Genomic DNA, 23,311 nt, shown 5'->3' with positions numbered 1-23,311 from the left:
GAAAGGAAGCTCAAAGCAGTCAAAACGGGGGTTTATGTGTCTTAAGACAGTGACACGGCCGGGCACGGTGGTTCACGCCTGTAATCCCAGTACTTTGGGAGGCTGAGGTGAGTGGATCACGAGGTCAGGAGTTCAAGACCAACCTGGCCAAGATGGTGAAACCCCGTCTCTACTAAAAATACAAAAATTAGCAGGGCGTGGTGACCGGCACCTGTAATCCCAGCTACTTAGGAGGCTGAGGCAGAGAATTGGTTGAACCAGGGAGGCGGAGGTTGCAGTGAGCTGAGATCGTGCCACTGCACTCCAGCCTGGGCAACAGTGGATTAGAGCGAGACTCCGTCTCAAAAAAAAAAAAAAAAGACAGTGACAGACCCCTGCAATAGAGAGGAGGAGGATGGATGATTACAGGTGGTGTCCGGATTGTTTTTATTTTTGTTTTTTTTTTCTTTTTTGAGACGGAGTCTTGCTCTGTTGCCCAGGCTGGAGTGCAGTGGCGTGATCTCAGCTCACTGCAACCTCCACCTCCCAGGTTCAAGCAATTCTCCTGCCTCAGCCTCCTGAGTAGCTGAGACTACAGGCGTATGCCACCATGCACGGCTGATTTTTGTATTTTTAGTAGAGATGGGGTTTCACCATGTTGGCCAGGCTGGTCTAAAACTCCTGACCTCAGGTGACCCGCCCGCCTCGGCCTCCCAAAGTGCTGGGATTACAGGCATGAGCCACCGCGCCCAGCCTTCTGGATTGTTTAGGATTGTAATGGCAACCTTTATTATCTATGCCTACACCTCTCTTCAACTAATGTATTTCTTCTCAGGGGTTTTAACTCCTGCTCACTGAGAAACCCTCTGTGGCTGTGAGAAAGGAATGGGCTAAAATAGATTGGCTGATGGATTTTTTTGTAATCAGAAGGATACCAGGGAGAGAAGGACATGGAGAATCCTGGAAATTTGTGTTCTATGGATGAAACTGCTTATTCCTTAGTGGGATTTACAAATGGAATCCTGTTATGGTTGTTCCAGAGCAGATGGCCTCTTACATCAGTTCCAACACCTTTTATTTTGTAATCCAATTTCAAAAGTCAGATTACAATTATTTGTTTCTATACAACGGAAAAGTTTTAATCCAGGCTGAGAGGAAGTAGTTTATCTTTTCACAGATTGTTTTCTAGGAAAGATGTATATTTATTACAATGCGGATTTTGGTGAAAGTTGGCAACTTAGGCTATGTCTTAGTCCATTTATGCTGCTATAACAAGATACTGAGACCTGAGACTTATAAAGAATATATATTTATTTCTCAGAGTTCCAGAGCCTGGGAAATCCAAGATTAAGGCACCAGAAGGTTCAGTTGTCTGGTTGGGGCAGCTCTCTGCTCTCTGCTTCCAAGATGGTGCCTTGTTGCTGCATCCTCCAGCAACAAGGGGAGAGGAGTGTTATATCCGCACATGGCAGAAGGCAAAGGGCAAGTGACCAAACACCGATTAAAGCCTCTTTCATTAGGTCCTTAATCCCATTCCTGAGGGAGGAGCTCTCATGGCTTAATGACCTCTTAAAGGTCCCACCTTTTAATACCATCACATCAGCCATTAAGTTTCAACACTTAAATTTTGAAGGGGACACACTCAAACAATAGCAGGCTGAAATTAATCTAATTATAAAATAACAAATCAGCTTAAAATGTAGGCTCCAAGGAAATGATTTTCACTGGGTTGAGACAAAAGGAAGAGCTTCATTCATTTATGCATTTAATTCAACAAATATCTCTGGAGTGCCTGCAGGATCAAGGTATAGGTGCTAAGACCAAAACAGATGAGTTCCATGCTTTCATGTAACTGACATTCCAGTGGAATACAGCAAGAATACAAAAAGGAAAGAAAGTGGTTTTTCTCTGTTGTCCTGAAATTGATTACAAGCTGGGTAGGGAGAAATAGCCCTATGTAAAACTAAATGTGCCACCAGCAGTAGGACCACTGGATGAGGTGGCTTTGACTCAGTGCCCTCTTTAACTCTCTAATGACATATTTCTAACTATATGACACCTTATGCGTAGGGGTGTATTGGACTGAGAAGAGCAGAAGATAACAGCACTTTTCAGTTTCAGAATTCTGTATTTCCATGTCTGTCTTTCTCTATGGTGGGCATTCATGTTTATTGAGGTAATGTTAGTCTCTAAACCATCAAATCAAAGAATATAGTACTACGAAGGAAGGTTAGAGATAATAAATTCAAGTAATGATTGTACGAGTGAGAAAAATAAGGCCACAGAGGTGAAGTGTCTTGCCGAAGGCTGTAGAGATAGTTGTTGGCAATGATGAGATGAGAATTTAGGTCACCTGACTCCTCATCTAGTGTTCCCCCAGTCATTTGCCTTTGCACTGCTCTGTTTTCTTTCTTTCTTTTTTTTTTGAAACAGAGTCTCACTCTGTTGCCCAGGCTGGAGTGTAGTGGCGCGATATTGGCTCACTGCAACCTCTGCCTCCCGGGTTCAAGCGATTCTCCTGCCTCAGCCTCCGGAGTAGCTGGGATTACAGGCGCCTGCCACCACGCCCGGCTAATTTTTGTATTTTTAGTGGAGACAGGGGTTTCACCATGTTGGCCAGGCTGGTCTCGAACTCCTGACCTCAAGTAATCCTCCTGCCTCGGCCTCCCAAAGTGCTGGGATTACAGGCGTGAGCCACCGCACCCAGCCTGTTTTATTTTCTTCACAGCATGTATCACCTTGTGAACTTTTTAAAAACATTTCGATTGTTACCCCAATAAACATGAATGCCCACCACGGAGAAAGACAGACGTGGAAATAAATTATGAAAGTGTGTAAAGTGCTGTTATCTTCTGCTCCTCTCAGTCTAATACACCCCTAACATAAAGTGTCATATAATTAGAAATACGTCATTAAAGAGTTAAAGATGGTAGTGTGTTAAAGCCACCTCATCCAATGGTCCGGCTCCTGGTGGAACATTTAGTTTTATGCAGGGCTATTTCTCCCCACCAAGATTGTAGTCAATTCCAGGACAACAGAGAAAACCCACTTTCTTTCCTTCTTTTTTGTACTCTTGCTGTATTGAGCACACAGTAGGTGCTGTGTAAATTCCCGCCGACAGACACTCATTGATTAACTGCTTTCGTGACACAGGTTGGCAGATAGGGACTGAAGTTATTGAGTGAAGCTGACTCCGGGTGGAGTGATACATTTGGCTACAGTGATTGAGCGGCTCTACCTTGCAGTACCCTCTTCTGTGGGCCCCTTTTGTATCTTGTAATCTTTTGCACTTAAGTTGATACGTGAAATACAGACTTGCAATCGTGATCAGAACTGTGTAAACAGTATCTGTGTTCGTAATTGGGATACAGTATGGACTTGAAACTGGCTAACTTGAGAAGCGGCGCTGTGGATGATTTTCTTGGCAAGTGTTTCATTTTTACTACGTTTCCGCAGTAAGCTATTACACAAAGCTAATGATGCACGATGCACAGAGCATTTCAAGCTACTCTCTGAAGAAAAGGCACCTCGGGGAGCTGACTGTTTTGTTTTGTTTTAATGTAAAGTCCAGTGCAGACCTAAATCCCTTACAAGGAACATGGTCTCACTGTCGCGCCGCTTAAAAATCCAGGGAAAAGCGTCAGACGAGCCGTGGGCTACCAACATTCATCTGAGGGCACCTTCTAACCATATTCTCGAACCTCAGAGAACCTTCCTAAATTCCCTTTCTGGAGTCCCCGCCCTCCGCTTGTCACCGTAGTGCGTCAAAGGCCCGTAGTCGTCACTGGAGGGAAAAAAGTACGTCGCGCGAGATTCTGCGACGGGATTTGGAAGTTAGGGAACAGCCGCGGCGCAAGCGCACTGGCCTCACAACCCCGGACGGCACGCGGGTAGGTAGGCTAGAACCTAGAGGAGGGGAGCAGAGCGTGCTGGGGTCTTTTATCGCTCTCCGCGCAGTGCGTGGGTCTGCGGATCCGTGGAGGTGCGGAGCCTGACTCGGCCTCCCCGGCTCGCGCGTGAGTGCGGCGGAAGCCCTTCTGCTCCTCCACGAGTTAGAGGAGTGTAGGGGACGTGCATCCCAGTGTCGGGACGCGAGCTCGTGCTCCTCTTTTCCTCCTAACGGTGGCCCCCACGCACACACTCCAGTCCCCCCGAGAGTTGATCTTCTCCCCTCAGCGCGCCCCTCCTTACCCGGCCCCTCCCACCGGCCCCCCGTTTCCGCCCGCTTGCTAGCTGCCTAGCTCGCGGTCCGTAGTCGGCTTCGTCCCTGGGGTCCCTGCTTGGGGGCGGAGAAGATGGCTGGAGGACGTCTGCTGTTGGGGGGCGACTTCCTGTCGCGCCGCCGCTGCCCCCCCTCCCGCCGCCGCCGCTGCCGCCCCTCCCGCCGCCCCCGCCCGAGCCAGTGCTGGAGCAGTGGCGCTATAGCCACGAAAGTGACTGGCAGTGGGCTCTGCGGCGCAGCTTCATCTGTCGGCACCTGCACAGCTATCCCGGGGCTGCCCTCGACCAGCTCCTCGCGCTCTCCGCCGCCTGGACCAACCACGTCTTCCTGGGCTGCAGGTGAGGAAGGTGTGGGTGTCGGGTTAGGGACGGGGGTGAGAGATCGGTGATGGGGGATCGGGTTAGGGACGGCGCTGGAGGGATCGATGATGGTGGTTGGGATAGGGACGGGGGCGGGATGCGGAGGATAGGTTGGAGGCTGGAGATTTGGAGGTGCTGGAGGGCACTAGAGGGATCACTATTGGCCTGGGGGTGGGGTGGCCGACTGTGGTGGCTGGGCATGACATAACAGCTAGGAGGGTGCAGAGATCGCGGAAGCGGCCTCTCCAGGACCAGGGATGGAGATGAAGCAGCGCCTAGAAGAGGATTATTGAGAGGTGGTCATTGTAGTTGGTGGCGGTATTAGAGGACGTGGGGAATGATGAATAGCAGCATCTCGGACCTGCGTAGGGCCTTCCAAGGATGCAGTATCCGCAGAGAATATATTCGACAGTTGGAGTTGTGGGGGAAGGGCGAGGGGACCCCACTGTTCTAGTCTCCTCCTGACCACTCTCTTTTTCCATTCCTCTTAAATACCCCCCTCTACTTGCAGCCCCCTAGCAGGGTCTTACTGTCTTCTCCTGGGGAGGCGGTACGTATCAGCTCTCTGAGCCGCAGCAGCGTCAGCCTTGCTTGTAGATTTGCGCATAATGTGTCTGGACTCAAACAAAGAAATGGATATATCTACTGTAAAAATGGATTGCCCTCTTTTTACCCTAAATGGGATCAGAAGGATTAACATTTGGCTCTGAGTGAGGTTTTAGGTGTGTGTGTCTGTGGTGGGGGTGGGGGTGTGTGTGTGTTTGTTTTTCCCCCCTTTCCTAGAACCTGGTGACGTTTTGAACAGGCCTCTTTGAAAGCTCTTTGCATTCAATGGAGACTGCAGTATGGTTCCAACGCAGCGTGTTTTGTTTGTTTTTTTTTTTTGAAGAGGCTACTTGGACCTCTGTCCTTCAGAACCCCTAAATCGGCCCTATACTAGACTATTCATTCTTTGATAGATTGGGAGACGACTTCTTTTGACATTCCTGCAATCATAGTTTTTTGTTTTTGTTTTTGTTTTTGTTTTTTTTTAAATCAGGAAGGGTGAGAGATTCTGGAATATGATCATGTCAATTTTGGCCAGTTCAGTTCCAGGAGTGACTGTAACAGATGCAGAAAAATAGGATTGTCTCCTCCTGCCCTTAATTATTGAACATGGCATTCAGTGTGATATACTTTGCTCTCATCACAGACATTACTTTTCTGTCTTCTCAAGGTTAGCATAATTTCTACCTCCAGAGATAATGATTAGGAGGAACTGGTTACAACTGAAGAAGCCTTAGTTATTGAACAAGTCAGATAAATCTACTTGACCTTTGCCTAACAGTGTTGTTCTTGAGTTCAAAAGTTACCTTTATCCTATAATCGTAAGTCTCCATAATATCACAGAAGGCTGTCGGAAATCTGAATCCTTAAAATAAAAACAAAAACTTAAATGAGGATAACTATCCTTTGTGTTAATAATAAATCTTACCTTCCCACTAGAATGGAAGCTCCCTTAAGGATAGGGATTTTGCTTTCTTGTTTACACCTTTATCCTCAGTGCCTAGAAGATTGCCTGCTAAATAATAGCTGCTCAATAAATGTGTGTGGAGTGAGTGGATGTATACAGCTTTATGATGTACAACACATTTTAAATATTTATTATTTCATTTCCTACAACAACTTTGGGGATTAGGTGGCATCTCATTTTTACTGCTAAATCAGTGGAGGCCAAGAAGTTAAGTGACGTTTCCAAGGTCTTACAGCTGGGGCTAGGACCTAGGTCTTCTGATACCCAGACTGATGCTCTTTCCACTGAGCCACAGCTGCCATATTTGGGAAGGATGGATCATGAGTGAAAGCAAGTAACTGAACATAAGCCACATCATTATATCTCAGGATTTAATTCCAAGAACAACACCCTTGTACATAACCAGGGCATTAAAAACACAAAGTAGGCCAATGGTAGTTGGTGTTAAAGGCTCAAGAATTGCAGGCTGTTGTGTGTGCACACAGGTGCATCTGTGGATACTATGTATGCTACATTGTACATACTATGTATGTACACCATGTTACATTGTAGCTAAGTCAGTTTAGTTAATACAAGAATTGCCATTACATTATCAAATAGCTTAACTGAAAAGTAATGTTTGCATTATATCTGATAGCTTCCATATAGAAGAAAGGGAAGGGCCAATGAAGACTCTTGGAAGCTAGGGACCAAGTGCAGTCTTTAGATGGGCTTTATGTTACCTCTCATCTTCAGGTGGGTAAAACTTGTGTTCCAATACTTGTTGATGTTAATGTAGATTTTGGCAGAGTTCTTGTTTTCTGTGGCAGAATACTCTTCTCTCAAGTGAATTGTAGAATACATGGTGAAATAGCTCTTTCTAAACTTAAATTGTTAATTTTTTTTTTTTTTTTTTTGAGACAGAGTCTGCTCTGTCACCCAGGCAGGAGTGCGGTGGCACGATTTTGGCTCACTGCAACCTCCACCTCCTGGGTTCAAGCAATTCTCATGTCTCAGCCTCCCGAGTAGCTGGGATTGCAGGCATGCACCACCACACCCGGCTCATTTTTGTATTTTTGGTAGAGACGGGGTTTCGCCATTTTGGCCAGGCTGGTCTCGTACCCCGGGGCTCAAGTGATCCGCCAGCCTCAGCTTCCCAAAGTGCTAGGATTACAGGAGTGAGTCACTGCACCTGGCCTTAAATTGTTGATTTGTTGCTCGAGGTTTATCACTTGACTTTTGGAACAGGCTGTGAAGAATAGCACAAAGGAATTTCCTTGCTCTTTTTTCCCTCTGGCAAAATGTTTTGTATTCCATTTTACTTGGAGCTGAAATAAACTTCTAGGTCAAAGAAATCTTTGAAAATTCCTTCATCATAAGACCAAGCCAGGAGGAACTCAAATGTGCAGGGAAACAGACCTTATTTCATTCCTTTTGGTGATGGTGGCAATTTCCACAGAACAAATTTGAATATCTTCTTGACTCTGTAACTGGGGAGTTCAAACTTAAGTACACGTCAAAATCACCTGTTAGGCTTGTTAAAACAGATTGCTGGGTCCCAGCCCCAGGGTGTCTGACTCGGTAGGTCTGAGGTGGGGCCTCAGATTTTGTATTTTTGATAAGTTCCCAGGTGATGCTGATGTTGCTGATCCAGAGATCAGCACTCTCAGAACCACTGCTTTGTAGGATAAAATAAAAATGTTTCTATTCTGTTTTTTAATCATTTTCTCCCTAATTGTCCAGGCAACCAGAAAGCTCAAATGGCTAAAATTGTTTCACTTCATTTTTTCATTTGTCTGTTTCGTCCAAGTAAACAACTTAACCAAGAATTTTTTTCTGCAGGCAATTTCTGAGATATGTCTTGTGGCTAGTGAAAAATTAGTTCAGTTTTCTGACCAACTACATCTACAGCACTTAAATAATTGTACATATGAATGCCTAGAGAACTGTGTGATTTTTACTTAAAATTGTAGATAGTGTCTTTATATTTAATAAAGCAGTTTGATTAACTGGGGCATTTAGTTTTCCAGTCATTGTTGATCAATAAGATTAGAAGGAGAATTCTGGCCTACTATTTACCTTTGATGAGACATTAATTAATAGATAAAATATACCTTAAAATGAAACCAGCTTTGCTCCCTTATTTGTCTTTTCCTGGTTGATACAAGACTGGTGTTTGGAAGGTAGATAGATGTTGGCTGGGCTCATGTTGCAAAACTGTGCACATAGTAGGGAGAGTGCATAAATCACTAGCTAATGAAATGGGTGTGAGAGCTTTTGAAAGATTATCAATAATCTGGGTGTATGTTATTAACTTATATCAGGAGTCTTATCAATTGTTGTTGTTGTTGTTTTAATAGAGATGGGGTTTCCCTCTGTGGCTCAGGCTGATCTTGAACTCCTGAGCTCAAGTGATCCACTCGCCTTGGCCTCCCAAAGTGCTGGGATTACAAGGGTGAGCCACCGCGCCTGGCCCGAGTCCTTTTTTCTTTTTCTTTTTTCTTTTTTTTTTTTTGTGTGACAATGTTTCGCTCTTGTTTCCCAGGCTGGAGTGCAATGGCGCGATCTTGGCTCACCGCAACCTCCGCCTCCCGGGTTCAAGCGATTCTCCTGCCTCAACCTCCCTAGTAGCTGGGATTACAGGTGTGCAACCACCATGCCCGACTAATTTTGTATTTTTAGTGGAGGCAGGGTTTCTCCATGTTGGTCAGGCTGGTCTCGAACTCCTGACCTCAGATGATCCGCCCGCCTCGGCCTCCCAAAGTGCTGAGATTACAGGCATGAGCCACTGCTCCCAGCTTTTTCTTCTTCTTCTTCTTCTTCTTTTTTTTTTTTTTGAGAGAACCTTGCTCTGTCACCCAGGCTGAAGTGCAATGGTGCGATCTCAGCTCAGTGCAGCCTCCACCTCCTGAGTGCAAGTGATTCTCCTGCCTCCACCTTCCGAGTAGCTGGGATTACAGGCGTGCACCACCACGCCCAGCTAATTTTGTTTGTATTTTCAGTAGAGACGGGGTTTCACCACGTTGGCCATGCTGGTCCTGACCTCAGGTGAGCCGTCCACCTGGGCCTCCCGAAGTGCTGGGATTACAGGCATCAGCCATTTTGCCAGGCTCCGGCCCGTCTTATGAAAAGTTTTTTTTTTTTTTAATTAGTTTTCCTTATGAATAGTTTTGAATAAACAATTTTACACTTGGAAACCTTAATCTTTGCTTAATTTTCAAATCTCAGCTTTTTTATTTGAACTTAGTAGAACAGTTTAATATACTTTTTTAAAGTTTTGTAAAACGGCCGTGGCCGGTGGCCCATGCCTGTAATCCCAGCACTTTGGGAGCCCGAGGCGGGCAGATCACGTGAGGTCAGGAGTTTGAGACCAGCCTGGCCAACGTGGTAAAACTCAGGCGTGGTGATGGGTGCTTGTAGTCCCAGCTACTCGGGAGGCTGAGGCGGGAGAATTGCTTGAACCTGGGAAGCAGGGGTTGCGGTGAGCCGAGATCGCGTCATTGCGCTTCAGCTTGGGTGCCAGAGTGAGAGTCCATCTCAAAAAAAAAAAAAGTTTTGTAAGCATCTATTACTGAATATTTATTAAATTTCAGCTGCCATTGTATGTTATAGTGGTTTACGTTATTCATAAGTATGCATATATATGCACCTGTCTTGTGTCCAGAGATGTAAAACTTATGAAGACAGATGTTTTTGTTCATTAGAAATCATCTTTTTATGTGCTAGATATGGTGGGATAGTTGAGTCACATCCTGGTTTCCAAAAGCTTGGTATAATATCAGCTACTTTTGAGAACCATAAGACCTCAGAATTTTGGGGTTCTTTTTTTTTCTTTCTCTTTTGAGACAGTCTTGCTCTGTCGCCAAGGCTGGAGTGCAGCCTGTGATCTCCGCTCACTGCAACCTCTGCCTCCCGGGTTCAAGCGATTCTCCTGCCTCAGTCTCCCGAGTAGCTGGGTCTACAGGTGCATGCCACCATGACTGGCTAATTTTTGTATTTTTAATAGAGACAGGGTTTCACCATGTTGTCCAGGCTGGTCTTGAACTCCTAGCCTCAAGTGATCCGCCTGCCTCGGCCTCCCAATTGCTGGGATTACAGGCATGAGCCACCACGCCTGGCCTGGTTTTCTTTTTTAAGCATTTATAATCTAAAGGGTAACTTAGCAGACTTAAAAATATAGTATGCGTGCATCTTAAAAAATTACTATATTAGACTTGCCTTAATGATATCTTACATTTTATTCAATAATATAAATACTGTATAGCCATTAAAACTCATGTGGTAATGATGTGGAGAAAAGGCTTATGATACAGTAAATTAAAAACAAAAAACCCCACCAGATTTGAAATCAACATAGATGACTTGATAGTGATGGGGAGTTATGGAAAACACAGAAAAAGCATTAAAAAATAAACCCCTACATGGCCAGACACGGTGGCTCACGCCTGTAATTCCAGCACTTTGGGGGGCTGAGGCAGGCAGATCACGAGGTCAGGAGTTCAAGACCAACATGGCCAACATGGTGAAACCCTGTCTCTACTAAAAATACAAAAATTAGCCGGACATGATGGTGCACTCCTGTAATCCCAGCTACTTGGGAGGCTGAGACAGGAGAATCACTTGAACTGAGGAGGCAGAGGCTGCAGTGAGCCGAGATCATGCCATTGCACTCCAGCCTGGGCAATAGAGTGAGACTCAGTCTCAAAAAAAAAAATTAATTAAAACCCAACATGTTGATGAAGTTATCAGTGGTTGGGGTTATTATAACTATTTTTGAGACAGGTTCCTCTGTCACCCAGGCTGGAGTGCAGTGGTGTGATCACAGCTCACTGTAGCCTCAACTTCCTAGGCTCAAGTGATTTGAGTAGCTGGGATTACAGGTGTATGCCACCATGCCCAGCTTTTTTTTTTTTTTTTTCTTTGTAGAGACAGGGTCTTGCCATGTTGCCCAGGCTGATCTTGAATTCCTGGGCTTAAGTGATCCTCTTGCCTTGGTCTCCCAGAGTGTTAGGATTACAGGTGTGAGCCACTGCTCCCGGCCAGTGGTTGGGAATGTAGGTGCTTTTCTTGGTGGATTTTCTAAAATGCCTGGTGTTAAAGGTGTTACTTTAAAACACACTATTAAAAAATAGACTCTGGAGAAAGTGAATAATAAAAGCTTTACTGCCTTGGCTTACTTTAAATATGTGGCACCACTTCTTTATCTTTGGAAAGCTACTCTGGATTGTAGAAGCCTCGTGGTCTTACTAAACACTCTAGATTCGTATTTACATTGTTCTTTGAATAGTGAAGTGTTTGTTAGGTACTATACGGTCTTTTTCATTATTGTTCATACTGGCTGGGCTTCTTCAGTATTATGACTTCATAGCAAAGGACAGAGAACTGTATCAGCAACCTATGTAAAGACTTATTTTTATGGCCTATGGGTGAAGTTGAATTTTGTGGCAGATGTAATGAATAGGGTATAGTAAGTAGGTAGAATAATTACTAATGCTGGAAGAAACCTGAGAAAAGTGAGCATGAATGAGTGAGCCCTAAGTGCATCACACCGTAAGACATATATGCCATTTGCAGTTGTATACTGTACTTGGAATCGGGCTCTAACTGAAGGTCTGGAGAATATTGACTGGAATTCAAGGTAAGTTGCCTGGTTGTAGGGCCACTTTTGGTAACAGGCGTGGGATTAGTAGTTTAAGATTTATAGACTCATCTCATTTTCATAGACTTTTTTTTTTTTTTTTTTTTTTTTTGAGATGGAGTTTCACTCTTGTTGCCCAGGCTGGAAGGCAATGGTGCGATCTCGGCTCACTAAAACCTCTGCCTCCCAGGTTCAAGCGATTCTCCTGTCTCAGCCTCCCAAGTAGCTGGGATTACAGGCATGCGCCATCACACCCGGCTAATTTTTGTATTTTTAGTAGAGACAGGTTTCTCTATGTTGGTCAGGCTGGTCTCGAATTCCCGACCTCAGGTGATCTGCCTGCCTTGGCCTCCCAAAGTGTTGGGATTACAGGCGTGAGCCACACGCGCCCGGCTTTTGTTTTTATCTCATACTTTGGAAATATGTACTCCCAAATTTGAATGGAAGTGATATGTAGAATGTATTGTGTTTATTTTATTTTATTTTATTATTATTTTTGAGACAGAGTCTCGCTCTTGTCGTCCAGGCTGGAGTGCAGTGGTGCAATCTCAGCTCACTGCAACCTCCGCCTCCCGGGTTCAAGCAATTCTCCTGCCTCAGCCTCCTGAGTAGCTGGGATTACAGGCGCCTGCTACCACACCCAGCTAATTTTTGTATTTTTAGTAGAGACGGGGTTTTACCATGTTGGGTAAGCTGGTCTTGAACTCCTGACCTCAGGTGATCTGCCCACCTCAGCCTCCCAAAATGTTGGGATTACAGGTGTGAGCCACCCCGCCCAGCCATATTGTGTTTTAGACTGTGCTTTCTGATGTTCAGATAAGAGTCAATGAAAATAAAATTACTCTTGGTATTTAAATACTCGTGCTAGCTTTAGCAGCAACAGTTGTCAGTGGGAAGTACAGGTTACAACAGAGCTAGCTTCCAGCAGTCTGTCGGGGAGGCCACCGTGCCTTGACTTCTGCTTTGCGTGGAATGATACGTGATGGGTGTGCAACCTGTTCTACTGAAAATGGAAAATGTTACCCTCCTTCTGGTTCAGAACTGATTCATGTAAAGGTATGATAGTTACTCATTTTCAGAACTTCTTCCCAAATGCTACCAGGAATCTCTTTTTTGGTCCTAGGCTGGGGAAGGCTCTGAAGGTAGGAAGGGAGAGCAGGTAACCGTCATAACCAACACTTCACTTGAGCTCCTGTTTCTGTTTCTCTGTAGTAAAATGTTATTCTATCAAGCAGCCAATCTTCATAAGGAGCCTTTTTTTTTTTTTTTTTTAAGAGACCGTCTCAGCCGGGTGCAGTTGCTCACACCTGTAATCCTAGCACTTTGGGAGGCTGAGGCAGGTGGATTACCTGAGGTCAGGAGTTCAAGGTCAGCCTGGCCAACATGGCAAAACCCTGTCTCTACTAAAAAATACAAAAATTAGCCAGGCGTGGTGGCGCATGCCTGTAATCCCAGCTACTTGGGAGGCTGAGGCAGGAGAAGTGCTTGAACCCGGGAGGTGGAGGTTGCAGTGAGCTGATATTGTGCCACTGCACTCCAGCCTGGGAGACAGAGCAAGACTCCCTCTCAAAAAAAAAAAAAAAAAAAAAAAAGAGACAGGGTCTCACTCTGTCACCCAGGCTGGAGTGCAGTGGTGTGATCACAGCTCACTGCAGCCTTGACCTTCCCAGCTCAAGTGATCCTCCCACCTCAGCCTCCCAAGTAGCTGGGACTACAGGCATGGGTCACCATGCCTGGCTACGTTTTCTGTTTGTTTGTTATTTTTATTTTTTGTAATGATGGTGTTTCGCCATGTTGCCCAGGCTGGTCTTGAATTCCTGGCTTCAAGTGATCTGCCCACCTCCACCTCTCAATGTGCTGGGATTACAGGCATGAACCACTGTGCTCAGCCAGGAGCCATTTTTTAAATTGTATATTTTAAAGCTTTGCCTTAAAATTTCAAGCACACAAAAGTAGAAAAGAGTTTAATGAATCCCATGTACCCATCACTCAGCAATCATCAGCAGTCTGCCATGCTACCCTTCTTCATCTATTCTGCCCTAGGTTTTTGTGGGCAATAGTCTGGAGTATATTTTATAAAATCCTGACATCATTTCACCTGTACATTCTTCAGTACACATCTGTATCAGATAAGAATTTTTAAAAATAGTCACCATACCATTATTCATATTCAACAAAATTTACAGTGATTTCTTAAAAATCACCCAATGCCTATTGCATGTTCAGTTTTCTTCATTTGTCTCAAATGTCTTTTTACAGCTCGTTTGATTCATTCATGATACAAAGTCTATACAATGTATTTGATTGATCCATCTCCTTTAACCTATAACCACTCCCTCTTCCTTTTATTTTCATTCTACAGTATTTATTTGATGAGGAAACTGGGCTGTCACATACTGTTCCCTCATTCTGGAGTTGGATAGTTCCATTCTTGTGGTGTTTCACATGTTTCTGGGAGTCAGGAACTTGATTAGTTTCAGGTTCAATTCTCTGGAGAGCCATAACGCTTTCTAGATAGTGCCGTGATATCCTATTGTATCACATCGTGGGGTACATGTTCGGTTGTCCCACTTTTAGTGATATTAAGATGATAAAGTCCCCGATCAGCTTTTTAAACTGAAATTTTTCTTGAGATAATTATAGATTGACATGCAACTGTAAGAAATAATACAAAGAGATGGCCGGGTGCGGTGGCTCATGCCTGTAATCCCAGCACTTTGGAAGGCTGAGGCCTGCGGAGAGGTCAGGAATTTGACACCAGCCTGGTCAACATGATGACCTTGTCTTACTAAAAATACAAAAATTAGCCCCGCATGGTGGTGCATGCTTATAGTCCCAGCTACTTGGGAGACTGAGGCAGGAGAATCACTTGAATCCAGGAGGCGGAGGTTGCGGTGAGCCGAGATCGCGCCATTGCATTCCAGCATGGGTGACAGAGTGAGACTGTTTAAAAAAAAAAAAAAAGTTCCTTTTTGTCCCAAGTAGTGTTCCATAGTGTGTGTGTACCAGAATCTAACTATTCACCTGTTGAAGGACATCTGGGCTGATTGTAGTTTTGGGCTGTTACAAATAAAGCTGCTATGAACATTCGTGTACAGGTTTTTGTGTGAACATAAGTTCTCATTTCTCTGGAATAAATGTCCAAGAGTATAATTGCAATCGCTGGATCAAGTGGTAACTGATTTTTTTTTTTTTTTTTTGGAGGCAGTGTTTCATTCTTGTTGCCCAGGCTGGAGTGCAATCGTGCGATCTTGGCTCACTGCAACGTCCACCTCCTGGGTTCAAGCGATTCTCCTGCCTCAGCCTCCAGAGTAGCTGGGATTACAGGCATGCACCACCACGCCCGGCTAATTTTGTCTTTTTAGTAGAGACGAGGTTTCTCCATGTTGGTCAGGCTGGTCTCGAACTCCCGACCTCAGGTGATCCGCCCACCTTGGCCTCCCAAAGTGCTGGTATTACAAGCGTGAGCCACCGCACCCGGCCTGATGTTTGGTTTTATAAGAAACTACCAAACTGTTTTCCAGAGTGACTGTATCATTTTACATTCCCAGCAGCAATGTCTGAGTGATCCAGTTTCTCCTCATTTTTGCCAGCATTTGGTATTGTCACTTTTTTTTTTTTTTTTTTTTTTTTTTTTTTGAGATGGAGTCTTGCTCTGTCACTCAGGCTGAAGTGCAGTGGCACAATCTCGGCTCACTGCAACCTCTGCCTCCCAGGTTCAAGCGATTCTCCTGCCTCAGCCTCCTGAGAAGCTGGGATTACAGGCGCATGCCACCATGCCAGGCTAATCTTTGTATTTTTAGTAGAGACAGGGTTTCACCATGTTGGTCAGGCTGATCTCGAACTCCTGACCTCGTGATCTACCCCCCTCGGCCTCCCAAAGTGCGGGGATTACAGGCGTGAGCTACTGTGCCCAGCCATTGTCACTTATTTTGGCCATTCTAATAAGTGTATAGTGATACCTCATTGTGATTTTAAATTGCATTTCCCTGGTGGCTAGTGATGAACATCTTTTCATGTGCTTATTTGCAATCTGTCTATCCTCTTTGGTGAAGTATTTCGTTTATGTCTTTTGTTCATTTTTTAATTTGATTTTTTTTTCTATTGAGTTTTAGGTACTACTAGTCTTCTGTCAAGCGTGTGGTTTACAGATATTTTCTCCCAGTCTGCAGCTTGACCTTTCATCCTCTTCACAGTCTTTCAAGAGCAAAACTTTTTACTCTTTTTTTTTTTTTGAGACGGAGTCTCGCTCTGTCACCCAGACCTAGACTGGAGTGTAGTGGCACAATCTCGGCTCACTGCAACCTCCACCTCCCGGGTTTGAGTGATTCTCCTGCCTCAGTCTTACAAGTAGCTTGGACTACAGGTGTGTACCACCATGTCCAGCAATTTTTTTTTTTCTATTTTTGTAGAGATGGGGGTTTGCCATGTTGGCCAGACTGGTCTTGAATTCCTGACCTCAAGTGATCCGCCCACCTCGGCTTCCCAAAGTGCTGGGATTACAGGAGTGAGCCACCACACCCAGCCAAAACTTTTTAATTTCAATGACGTCCATTTTATCACCAGTTTCTTTATGGATCATGCTTGGTATCAAGCCTAAGAACTGTTTGCCTAACCCTAGATCCCACAGATTTTCTCCTGTGTTTTTTTTTTCAGTAAAAGTTTCATAATTTTACATTTAGGTTTATGATGTATTTTGAGTTAGTTTTGTATAAGGTGTGAAGTTTAGGTGTAGAGTTGTTTTTTTTTTGTTTTTGTTTTTGTTTTTGCCTATGGATGCCTACTAGTTCCGGCGCCATTTGTTGAGAAGGCTATCCTTCCTCCATTGAATTGCCTTGGCACCTTTGTCAATAATCAGTTGAGAATATTTGCTTGGGTCTGACTGTGAGTTCTTCCCCCATTAGCTTTTCACCTAATAGGTTTAGCAGCCATTGATAATTTCTTTTCTTTTTTCTTTTTTTTTTTTTTTTGAGATGGAGTCTAGCTCTGTCGCCCAGGCTGGAGTGCAGTGGCGTGATCTCGGCTCGCTGCAGCCTCTGCCTCCCAGGTTCAAGCAGTTTTCCTGCCTCCGCCTCCTGAGTAGCTGGTATTACAGGTGTCCACCACCATGCCCGGGTAATTTTTGTATTTTTAGTAGAGATGGAGTTTCACCATGTTGGCCAGGCTGTTCTCGAACTCCTGACCTCAAGTGATCCACCCGCTTAGGCCTTCCAAAGTGCTGAGATTACAGGTGTGAGCCACCATGCCCGCCTGATGATCATTTTTTATTATAGGTTACAAAATGGTAGTAGTCCATTCCTTCATTTATTAGCTGGAATGCTTCTCTAAAAGACATTTTCCTCATCATCTCTTTGGTTGCTCTAAGTACAATTTATACAGGAGAATACAGGATAAATGTTTGCTTTCTTCCTTTCATATTTACCTGTTTGCAGAATAATGACATGGTTCCTTCCATCCTCCAAAGGTGACCAATAATAGTTTGTAAGTATCATTATGAACTAATGAATTTTCAACATATTTGATATATTTCAATCCATTGCCATCATTGTTCTTATCGATATTTGAGTTGGCTCACTTTGCCAGTAAGAGTCTATTCAAATTGGCTTCTGAGTCCATTTGACACAACACCTTTGATCTTTGACAGTTTCCTTGGTTTTAGGTGCTAGATGATTTCTCAGGCTCACCTTAGACATTTCCTGCCACAGACTTAGAATCAGCCATTTCTCTAAGGACCCTGATTCCATTTCATGAGAAATGATAGAGACCACAATCAAAACAAGTCATGAATTTATACTGATATTTTCAATTCAAATTAAAGATGAGGTTTTTGCTAAATTTTTTTGAGTTTATATTTGTATGTCTTATGCTGAAAAATCTTGTTTCCTAATTAGTAACATAATTATTCATTTGATGGGTAAATATTTTAGGGCCGATTCTTTGGTTTTATAGCCAAGATACCCTGTTGATAAAGTCTTGTGGGAGCAATTATAAGACTGGCTTATTTTGAAGCTTTTTAAAAAAGACATCCTTACCTGTTTTAACTGTAGATTATATTAACTTAAATAGGTACAGCCCACGCTTGATGGAAAAAATTCTCCAAATGGCTGAAGGTATTGATATTGGGGAGATGCCTTCATATGATCTGGTGCTGTCCAAACCTTCCAAAGGTCAAAAACGCCACCTCTCAACATGTGATGGTGAGTATACTTGTTTCTGAAAGGTGGGATTTGAAGAAACAACATGGCTTTAAAAAAATGATATGAGTGTGGTATAAGATTTCAAATAACATTGGTAACATTAGTTCTTACGGGTAAAAGAGTTTTAGCTTTTAATTATATACAATTTTTTGAGGATGCTAAATAGAATTGAAAACTAAGAATATTGAAATCATGTTATTATGCAGTCCTTGAAATTTATGTCATGGAACCGCCCTCTAAATAAAATCTTATACTGTGATCACTTGAGCATCTAAGTCACTAAATCCTCTTGGATGGGTCCAGGATGGACGAGCTTTCTACTGAGCAGTGTTACAGGGAGGAAGCTCTAGTGTCTAGTATAGCTTCATCAGAGTTCTTCCATAGCTTTAAATTTGGCATCTCACATAAATCATTAGTTTCCAGCTGTTGTTTGTTCTAGAAAGAAAATAGAGCAAACACCCTTTTGTGATGAATGGGTCAGAGCTGAGGTTTTGAAGTTGAAAACTTTCTGAATCTTTTGATAATTCTTTTTCTTTGATTTTTAGTCACAACTATGTAAAGCACCATCACAGAGTCACTCACCTCTGATACAAAAGAGAAAGGCTTTGTAACTGCCTCTGCTCATTATCTGTCTTGCATTAGAGCCATCTGTTCCATTTTCAATCCTTAAGTGAGCTTTTCAGCATGGGTGGTATGAGATTGTACTGGAACAATCTTCCAGTCCACTTCACCTTCCAGCACAAGTGAAGAGTATACTTCACCTGTGCTTTAGCTCATTTGATGCAAAAGCAGCTACCAGTCATGTGTGGTGGTGACCTGTATACTTGACTTAATGGTATATTTTCTATCAAGGGTCTTCCCTTACATGTGGAAAGACAGGGAGCATCCCTCCTTATGCTGGAATCTTACATTGATAATTGAGTCTCTTCACCCAAATGGCGTGAAGTTTTTGTGATGGAAGTATCTCGTACCAACAATGCAGCTTGCAAATAATATGGTTGGTACTATTTTCCTGCTTGGTTCTTTTGAAATATTCCCATTTTAATGAATTGTAAATTTCACTCATTCTATAGGTCAAAATCCTCCTAAAAAGCAAGCCGGTTCCAAATTCCATGCGAGACCTCGTTTTGAGCCTGTACATTTTGTAGCTAGTAGTTCAAAAGATGAAAGACAGGAAGATCCTTATGGCCCTCAAACAAAAGAGGTAAATGAACAAACACATTTTGCCAGCATGCCAAGAGACATCTACCAAGATTATACTCAAGACTCTTTCAGTATACAAGATGGGAATTCTCAGTATTGTGATTCATCAGGATTCATTCTCACAAAAGACCAGCCTGTAACAGCCAACATGTATTTTGACAGTGGGAACCCTGCCCCAAGCACCACATCACAGCAGGCAAACTCTCAGTCAACTCCTGAGCCTTCACCATCACAGACATTTCCCGAGTCTGTGGTAGCCGAGAAGCAGTATTTTATTGAAAAATTAACGGCGACAATCTGGAAGAACCTTTCTAATCCAGAAATGACTTCTGGATCTGATAAAATTAATTATACATATATGTTAACTCGTTGTATTCAGGCGTGTAAGACAAATCCTGAGTATATATATGCTCCTTTAAAGGAAATTCCTCCTGCCGACATCCCCAAAAATAAAAAACTTCTAACTGATGGCTATGCTTGTGAAGTTAGATGCCAAAATATCTACTTAACTACAGGTTATGCTGGCAGCAAGAATGGGTCCAGGGATCGAGCTACAGAGCTAGCTGTAAAACTCTTGCAGAAACGTATTGAAGTTAGAGTTGTCCGGCGGAAATTCAAGCATACATTTGGAGAGGACCTCGTGGTGTGTCAGATTGGCATGTCCTCCTATGAATTTCCTCCAGCTCTGAAGCCACCAGAAGACCTGGTGGTGCTGGGTAAAGATGCTTCCGGGCAGCCAATTTTTAATGCTTCTGCCAAACACTGGACCAATTTTGTCATTACAGAAAATGCAAATGATGCAATTGGTATCCTTAACAATTCTGCCTCATTCAACAAGATGTCAATTGAATACAAATATGAGATGATGCCAAATCGCACATGGCGTTGTCGAGTGTTTTTACAAGATCACTGCTTAGCTGAAGGTTATGGAACCAAGAAAACAAGTAAACATGCAGCTGCCGACGAGGCTTTGAAAATTCTTCAAAAAACACAGCCCACTTATCCATCTGTCAAAAGTTCACAATGCCATACAGGCTCTTCACCCAGAGGATCTGGAAAGAAGAAAGATATAAAGGATCTTGTAGTTTATGAGAATTCTTCAAATCCCGTGTGCACGCTGAACGACACAGCTCAGTTTAACCGAATGACAGTTGAGTATGTCTATGAAAGGATGACAGGCCTCCGCTGGAAATGCAAAGTGATTCTAGAGAGTGAAGTAATTGCAGAAGCAGTTGGGGTGAAGAAAACTGTCAAATATGAAGCTGCTGGGGAAGCTGTGAAAACCCTCAAAAAGACCCAGCCAACTGTCATTAACAACTTGAAGAAAGGAGCTGTTGAAGATGTGATTTCAAGAAATGAAATTCAGGGCCGCTCAGCAGAGGAGGCTTACAAACAGCAAATCAAAGAAGATAATATTGGAAATCAGCTGCTGAGAAAGATGGGTTGGACTGGTGGTGGTTTAGGTAAATCTGGTGAGGGCATACGGGAGCCTATCTCAGTGAAAGAGCAGCATAAGCGGGAAGGGCTTGGTCTGGATGTAGAGAGGGTGAATAAAATTGCCAAGAGAGATATTGAACAGATCATCAGAAACTACGCCCGCTCCGAGAGCCACACAGATTTGACTTTCTCTAGAGAGCTGACTAATGATGAACGGAAGCAAATACATCAGATTGCCCAGAAGTATGGTCTTAAGAGTAAGTCTCATGGGGTGGGCCATGATAGGTACCTAGTGGTAGGTAGAAAAAGACGGAAGGAAGACCTACTAGATCAGCTCAAACAGGAAGGCCAAGTGGGCCATTACGAGCTTGTTATGCCTCAAGCAAATTGAGATCTTACTAATTTATTTTGTAAATGCCTAATGAGGCAGATTTTTGAATTAAAGAAATGCTACATGTTCCGGTTGCAGAGTATATTCATAAGATGTCTCACCTTGTTCATTTCACATAGTGGTTTATTAGATATTGGAACCTAAAGAATTCTGTCCACTTGTATTAGCTTAATCCAGCAGATGATATTGTGCAGTTACTGTTTGTGTCTTTGATATTGCTGTGTCCCTCAGATTTTAGTAGTTTGACAAGCAAGAACACATATCCAAATGGAATTTTACCCTGAGAAATTATCATTTTAAAGGGCATAGCACAGCAATCTGCAACAATATGTAAAGTTGATATTGACTACAATAAAAATCCAGTCTTAATTCCAGATTTACTGAAAATGTCAGATCATTTTGTATTAATCTATTTTCATCTTTGTGTGAAGCCAGTTATAGAATGTTTGACAATAAATTGTGCTGTACACGTAAATGTCCTTACCAACTAAATGATGTAAAACTTTCTTAAAGTAATTTTAGTGTTCATTTATTTATAACTTCTACCATGTGATTTCCAGACTATTGGAAGTGATTTACTGTATCTTGTGATATATGGGTTTTAACAAATTCTAGTCTTCACGCTGAGAGAGCACTACTTGAGAGAGCAGTTGAAAGTTTCAAAAACTTTGGTTCAATCTGAAGAAAGGAAGCTTGAACTGTTTGTTCTTGGTGCCTTGCAGAGAGACTCACAGCAACTCTCCATTATAGCTTTCACACGGTTTGGATGTGCAGCACATCCAAGGCAACCACAGCTGTGGTAGAGCTTGGTAAAAGACTGAAGATACATTGGTGCTTTGATGAAAAGGTCAGTTGGCTGGTCCCTCTCTCAAAAAGCTTATTAAGCCTGAAAAGCCAACTTTGTAACATATTTAAAACTGCTATTTTCGCTTATTTCTGGAATGTAAAAAAAAAAAATGTATAAAAAGAATTAGTGTATGCTTCCTGAATAAAAAGGAGCCAAAGTTGATCAGAATGGTGGCGTGCTCATTTCCGGGCAGCAGCCTTGTAGCAACACTGGGTCTTTGGAGAAGGGAAGTGGTGTTTGCACAGAATAGTTCAGCACCCAGAGCACATGTGGATGAATGTCCGGATTTAACAGATAGGAATCAGTCAACTATCACTTTTTTCCTATGGACCAACATGCTGGCTTCAACCAAATCTTTGGCTGCCCCCTTTTATGTGATTTTATTTTTGTATCTCAGATAAATCAAGTATAACCTCATAACAGCACAGGTGAATTTACCATTGCTCACTAGACACCTCTAATGAAATGATGTTCAGGACAATTAGGTGGTTTACAGTGCTTGACAACATTTAGCACCGTGCTTGACATGTAATTGGCCAACAAGAAATCGTAATTTCCTTTCCCGTTTTTTGTTTGTTTGTTTTTGAGATGCAGTTTCGCTCTTCTTGCCCAGGCTGGAGTGCAATGGTGCAGTCTCGACTCACTGCAACCTTCACCTCCTGGGTTCAAACGATTCTCCTGTGTCATCCTCCCAAGTAGCTGGGATTACAGGCACCCGCCACCACGCCCGGCTGATTTTTGTATTTTAGTAGAGACGGGATTTCACCATGTTGGCCAGGCTGGTCTTGAAGTTCTGACCTCAGGTGATCTCCCTACCTTGGCCTCCCAAAGTGCTGGGATTACAGGCTTGAGCCACCGTGCCTGGCCCTGTTTTTTATATTTTACATTAAGCAGCTGCCCACTGTAGTTAAATTAATGCTTAAAAAATATAAAGGGATTAGCCTTTACACCTGGATTTCTGTAACTGGTACTCATCTACGGTAACTAAACAGTGTGATAATTGTTTTCCATTAACCGTCTTCCTACAGTGCATAGCCTTTCTTAATGTCGGTAGGAAGAGAAATGAGGTGTACATTTTATTTTGCCACTTCATATTAACATTGGCAAAAAAAACTAAGCAAAATGTTTATAGATTTTGTAGGATTACAATTTGTTTTTTGAGACAGGGTCCCACTCCGGTTACCCAGTCTGGAGTGCAGTGGCGCAGTCTTGGCTCACTGCAACCTCCACCTTCCGAGTAGCTGGGACTTCAGGTGCGCACCGCCTGGCCTGGCTAATTTTTTGTATTTTTAGTAGAGATGGGATTCTGGTCTCAAGCTCCTGGAGTTACGCAGTCCACCCTTCTCAGCCTCCCAAAGTGCTGGGATTACAGGCATGAGCCACTACACCCGGGCTACAATTTTGTTTTGTTTTTAATTTACAAGGTTCATGCCAACCTTCAGAAGCTATGGTTGAATTTGTGAGTTAGAAAAAAACCTGTTTTCAATTCTCTGAGTAAGAGTGGCTTTGGGATTAAGGGATATGAAAACTTCACTGATTACTCTCT

General features: G+C 43.2%; 1 protein-coding gene across 2 annotated transcripts, besides 2 other annotated features; it reads left to right on the top strand.

The window, feature by feature from the left end:
- Positions 3,613-3,722: an enhancer, noted in NCBI's record as "active region_29882". NCBI's record gives its function as "activates an Ori minimal core promoter by ATAC-STARR-seq in GM12878 lymphoblastoid cells {active_cell/tissue: GM12878}" and the evidence as "EXISTENCE:reporter gene assay evidence [ECO:0000049][PMID:35858748]".
- Positions 3,846-21,933, top strand: NKRF (NFKB repressing factor). 2 transcript variants are annotated; one of them, NR_163972.1, is given in 4 exon segments: positions 3,846-4,539; positions 6,711-6,808; positions 17,757-17,887; positions 18,961-21,933. NR_163972.1 is itself a non-coding variant. In NM_001417890.1 (4 exon segments), coding segments are annotated over 4 exon segments (2,352 nt in total). In that variant the 5' UTR covers positions 3,846-4,274; the 3' UTR covers positions 20,919-21,933.
- Positions 4,263-4,312: a silencer, noted in NCBI's record as "silent region_20961". NCBI's record gives its function as "represses an Ori minimal core promoter by ATAC-STARR-seq in GM12878 lymphoblastoid cells {active_cell/tissue: GM12878}" and the evidence as "EXISTENCE:reporter gene assay evidence [ECO:0000049][PMID:35858748]".

The sequence above is a fragment of the Homo sapiens genome, chromosome X (genome assembly GCF_000001405.40).
Source record: "Homo sapiens chromosome X, GRCh38.p14 Primary Assembly".
Taxonomy (NCBI): Eukaryota; Metazoa; Chordata; class Mammalia; order Primates; family Hominidae; genus Homo; species Homo sapiens.
Note: the sequence above shows the minus strand (reverse complement) of the source record. Positions and strands in the feature narration are given on the sequence as shown.